Raw genomic sequence first — 6000 nt, 5'->3', positions numbered from 1 at the left:
GTGATTGGGGATTATGGAGATTCAAAAGCATCTTGAATGATGGCATTTATTATGCTTCATCTGCATGTGTTGATTTTGGGAAGAAATGGTCTAAAAGTATCTGCTGACTTGAGTATTTTATCCAGCTATGAAAAGAGTTAAAGGAGTGTGTGTGTGTGTGTGTGTGTGTGTGTGTGTGTGTGTGTATCTGTGTTGGGGCATGGGGTTGGGAGATGCTCAACATGGAGAAATTCCACCTTTATGATCATGGAGGAAGTTTCAGGGGCCTGGCAATTTTGGCAAGCTGTGCCAGGCTGATACACTCAAGCCAGTTTTCAAGAGCCACTATAGCAAGGCAGGATTTGGGCCTCTTTCTCTGTCTTTGAAAACAGAGACTGCTCCAGGTCAGAGATGTCAGTGTATATAGTTAACTGTTACGGATCTTACAATAAAAATTTGTTGAAGGTCATTAAACACTCATCTCTCTATGTTTATTACTTTAGTCTTTTATTTGTTGGTAGACATAGATCGTTTGATGTCTATTACCACCACACTTGGCATTTTATGCAGTAAAGGTCCTTATGGTTCTTGATGGGTAAATAAACAAGCTAGTGAAAAGCTTCAGGGATAGTGGTTCTTGCGTTTCTGCTCACTTAACAGCCTGAAGCGAGGGGAGAAGGGCCTCTTTGCAGTTAATGTCTTCTGTGAATGATGCCTTGGGCCTGAATTCATAGCCCTGACCTGCTCCTCTCTGCTCACCCTACATGCTTTCCTCCTCAAATGTTGCAATGACCCTGGCAGCTCTCAGTGAATTGGGGCTGTACATTCCCTTTCGTTTTTTAAAAAAAGTCATCACAAAGAGCTTATTTATATGGAATGCTAATTTCTTTTGCACTTTCTTGGTGTTAAATTCAGAGTGAGCCTCTTTGTGTCAGTTCCATTTGAGGATATTTTTGTTTTGTATTTCCCTAACTACACAAATGATTAGACATTTTCTCATATTCCCACAATAGTAAGTCTAAAATATAATATTAGTTATTCTCTTGGAGTGTTTATCTTGTGTCTGTCTTTGTGCTAAATGTTCTGCCTCCATGATCTGATAGCCTCATGATGACTCTGTAGAGTAGATACTAATATAATCCTCATTTTTAAGATGAGAAAACTGGGGTAATTACTGCTTAAAGTCACACAACTAGTAAGAAGCAGAACTGGGATTCCAAAGCAAATTGATCAAACTCGGCAGGTATACACTTGACCACTTTTCTGAACTGCCCAAGCTTTGTTACTTGCATGCTTGATGCCTCAATTGTTCTGAAAACAATATTGAAATGTACATAATACTCAGATAATTTTCAAATTGTAATAAAATATGCTTAGCTCTACATGATAACTATCATAATTTATTCTTGATTTAATGTTTTATAATATTCTGCAGAATCTTATTCCTCTTTAGGATCATCATTATGAAACATCAGTTATCCTTGTCCTGTGGATATAAAAGGATGCTGGGTGTATCAGTCTATTTTCACACTGCTAATAAAGACATACCAGAGACTGGGCAATTTACAAAAGAAGGAGGTTTAATTGGACTTACAGTTCCACGTGGCTGGGGAAGCCTCACAATCATGGTGGAAGGCAAGGAGGAGCAAATCACGTATTTCATGGACGGCAGCAGGCAAAGAGAGCGAACTCATGCAGGGGAACTCCTCTTTATAAAATGATTGGATCTTCTGAGACTTATTCACTGTCAGCACAGGAAAACAGCACAGGAAAGACTTTCTCCCATGATTCAATTATCTCCCACCGGGCCCCTCCCACAACACATGGGAATTCAAGATGAGATTTGGGTGGGGACACAGTCAAATTTTTGTGTTAAAAAACCTAGATAAACCCTAGCAAATCTTAAATATGATAGATGTTTTCATTTTAATTCAATGCTGTGAAGCTGAAGAGGGAAAGGATGGGTTGTCCCTGCATTCCAGTTGGATAATTTTAAAAGCAAATGTAATGCACTAATGTTGAGGAATAGGTAGCCTGCTCACATTAAAGGAATCAGTCATTTTTCCTATTTTTCTGGAGTTGGGGGAACTGTATTTCACAGTGATATTTGTTCTTCACATTCTTGGTCCTTTAGTGGTCATAATGTGGTGGAGTGAATCATTAGTATTTGTTTTAAATAGAAAAATGGGACAGAAAATGTTATTTATTCATTAGATTTGTTAAATACCCACAGCTAAAACCTAATAATAATCTATACTATAAAATATATAGATCATTTTGAAATTACACCTAATAGTCAAAACATAAGCTTTCTCTCGAAAGGAAAAATGCTTCTGACCAAAGAAACACTTTATTTAAGCCTCTGATAAAGCCTGGGAGTTTTAGGTCTCTACCCAGGAACATGCAGATATATGTTTTGTGACTTCCTCTTGAAAATTAATTGCAGCTTCAAGAAAGCAAAAATGGTGAGCCAAACCATGCATGTGCCTTTCTCTTCAGACCTGGAACATCTCCCCCTTAAGTTTAGGAGAAAGCTGTAGCTCTTCCTTCTGTCACTGTGTTCTTATTATTGCCCTTCTCTTTAGCACTCACATTACTTAGAGTAGATTGAATTCAGAGAGTTCATAAGGTGCTGACTAACATTATCGCCTTTTATTTACAGGCACGTTTGGCATATTTATTGGAACTGGCCATTTCATGAAAAATATTTCTTCTCTAACATTAAGTATAAAATGTTATTTGTCAACAGGTGATAATTAATCATAATATTTAAATTCCTTTTGTGCATTTAGGCATATTAACATATCTAATGCATTTCTATTTGAAGTGTGTAAATCTTGAAGTGCAATATTCCACTACCCAATATAATTCTCTTAACCTTTTTATGTACATAAAAAGCTCGCATTCATATTATTCTTTTCTTTCCCAAAATAGAAAATGAGGTTCTAATACAGTATGTGCTATACATTTCTCTCCACAATGGCCTGTGACTGACTGAAGCCAAAGCTTTTAAACAATGACATGTAGCTTATATGATAAAAGAGAAATAGTCACCTAGAATCATACCAATATATTCAGCCAAGAAAATTCCTTAAAATGTCAATTGCTCAATAACAAGATCTGTATCTGTGTCCTCATCTGTAACCAATCACTTATTTTCATCATTCTCTGGACAAGTTACCTTTTTAATCTTATGTCTTGACTTATAAAATAATAACAGTACCACAATACTGTAATTGTATAACGATAACAGAGATAGTATTTAGTATCTTATACATTAAAATGGGTAACAACAAAATCAAACTCAACTGTTTTTTAGCACAAAGCGTCTCCAATAGTGTTTTCTACTTAAATTAACTTCTGGGAAATACCACGTCTTCTTGTTCTTCTTATAGGAAACTGGACCTATATTTGGAAGATTCATTTTCCAGTTCTGATTCACCACCTTGTAGTTATATGAGCTTGGCAAGTTACTTAATTGTTTAAGGTTGAGTTTCTTTTTCTAGAAGAGCTTATATATGGGCCCAAACCCTACTCCCCACCAGCTGCAAAAGCATTTTATGTGTTGTAAAAGATTTTTAAATGGAAGGTTTTAACCTAATTTATCTAAATATATCATCCTTTAGGAATACTTTCGATGAACTGTTTTCACTTCCTTAAATAGCAGTGGCTAGTTTCTTTGCCTTTTATTTCTGTGTGTCATGAAGATCATATTGAGATGAATCCTATTAGAAACACTTTAAGAAAAGAAAAGTCAGGTTTTGGGTGAATGCCTCTTTGTTTAACTCAACAAAATGTAAATGCAACAAAAGAATTTGGAAAGACGCTTGGAAGTTGAAATGGATTTTGACCTTATTGTGCCTAAAATGACTAACTTTGGTTCTTATTGTTGATAAAAACAGGAGAACCTTGTATAACCAATGCCTCACAGGTCCAGAATGTTCAGTTTTGGTTAGTGAGACTCAACCAGCAAGAGGTAATAAACTGAAGAATTTGTAGGTAGGATGGTGGTTAAGAGTATGGGTTTTAGAATCAGCTAGAGCTGGCCTGATTCCCTGCTTTGCAGTGTGTAAACTGTACATCCTTGGGTAACTTATTTAAAGGCTCTAAGCCTCAGGTTCCTTATTTGTAAAGTGGCTCAGCATTTAGAGGTGTCAGAAGGATTATTTGAGAAAATGTTAGCTCAGTGCTGAGCAAAACCCTGGCAGATGGAAGTAGTCACCCTATATAGAGTAGCTATTTTAATAGTCTTTATTCTTAAGGGTCCACAGATGTAAAGAGCTATACATACAGCCTCTTTTACATTAGCATTTTACAGAGGTCAAGATACAGCAAAGGAAGCTCCCACCAGCAAGGAATAGTCACTGACCCTATAGTTCTCTTTGGGGATAGTCCCATGGAACAGAGACTAGTGTTGGTTAAGTCAAGGCCAAATGACATGTTTATGGCTGGCACAAGGTGCCTTGTTTACAGTGAATTCCACTTATAACAATTATTTTCTGAACAATAAGCTGGGCTTGTTACTGAAGCATTAAAAACATCTTTAACAGTATAGAAGTCCCTACTTTTCACTGAGATGTTCTATTAGAAATTGGATTTTAGGTTGGATTGTCATAAACACAAAGATTAAACAATTATAAATATTCATTGAAATAATCTTTGAGTTCTAAACCCTAATAAATGGGCATACATGGGGCATCTGCATTTTACCCAAGGTACCCTCAATATTCCATAAATGTACTTATGCACACAGGATACACACAATACATATGTTCTTTTTAGTCACCAAAGAAGCTCTTTGTGCTAAGTATTATTAACCTCCTTTTACAGATGAGGAAACTGAGTTTCAGAGAGTTTAAATAGCTTACCTAACTTCAAAAACAAAAAGTAGAGGAGCCAGAATTTGACCCAACTGTGTCTGAATAAAAAATTCCTATTCATCCTACCATATACTCCCCACAGCTAAACAATTCACCCGATCTCAGCTGATGTGGAAAGGATGCCACCCTCCCTTGCTTTGGTGTCCCTGGGGGGAGTATATAGGCTATCAATATGGCAATGAGCCTCAGTACAGAGAAGCACATTGTATATCAAAGTTACATTCCAGGAAAAGTCCAACTTACAGCCAAAAGACATATAAAAGGCAATTCTTTCCTTAGGGTGATAGAAATGGAAGGCCTAGATTCATTCCCACAACACCACCACCCACCACTTATAATCTATTAGCACTGCCCCTGTAACATTTTAAATAACACTTAAAAAGTATTACACGAATAATAAAACAAGAATAAAATTATTCTTACTTTAAGAATGTCAACTCTGGGATAAATGGATGAATTTTGTACCAAAGAGAATGACTATATAAACCTATCTTGTAGATGGAATGGATTAGGCAGAAAGAAGGTTATAAAGACTTTTCCACTTCTACATCTATCTCTGTGAACTCCATATCTGCATCCAGGCCATCACACACAGGGGAGCTTTTCTCCCCTCTATCTTTCTTCCAGACAATACAGAAGGAATAAAATGTCCACTGAAAACATTGTACATACTTTGGTATAAGAAATCACACAATAAGACATTGGTGCTGCCTACAAGCGTTTGCTGCATGACATACTGTTCATATAGATGTAATGTTTCATGACAAAGCAAAATGTATCCTGTATAAATGATCTATTTAAGTGTGAAATAGAAAACACACTCTCCTTGTTTGTTTTAACATTTGCTGATGGTACCACTTCTCCTTTGCCTCTTTCTACTGCTTTCCTATGTGCCTTTTCAGCTTTGCAGCAGCAGCAGCAACAGCAACAGCATCTAATAAAAATAATAACAACAGCTAACATTTGTTAAACACACTGTAATGTTTATTGGTTCCTTTGCTCTCCACAAACTCTAATCATAAAAATTATTGTCATTACCAATTTACAGATGAAGAGATTGAGGCTTGGAAATTATCTGATTATTAAGTGTGTAGCAAATTCTGGTTCTTACTAGGATGAATTAAGCATAAACCACCTTGTC

The sequence above is a fragment of the Homo sapiens genome, chromosome 2 (genome assembly GCF_000001405.40).
Source record: "Homo sapiens chromosome 2, GRCh38.p14 Primary Assembly".
NCBI lineage: Eukaryota > Metazoa > Chordata > Mammalia > Primates > Hominidae > Homo > Homo sapiens.
Note: the sequence above shows the minus strand (reverse complement) of the source record.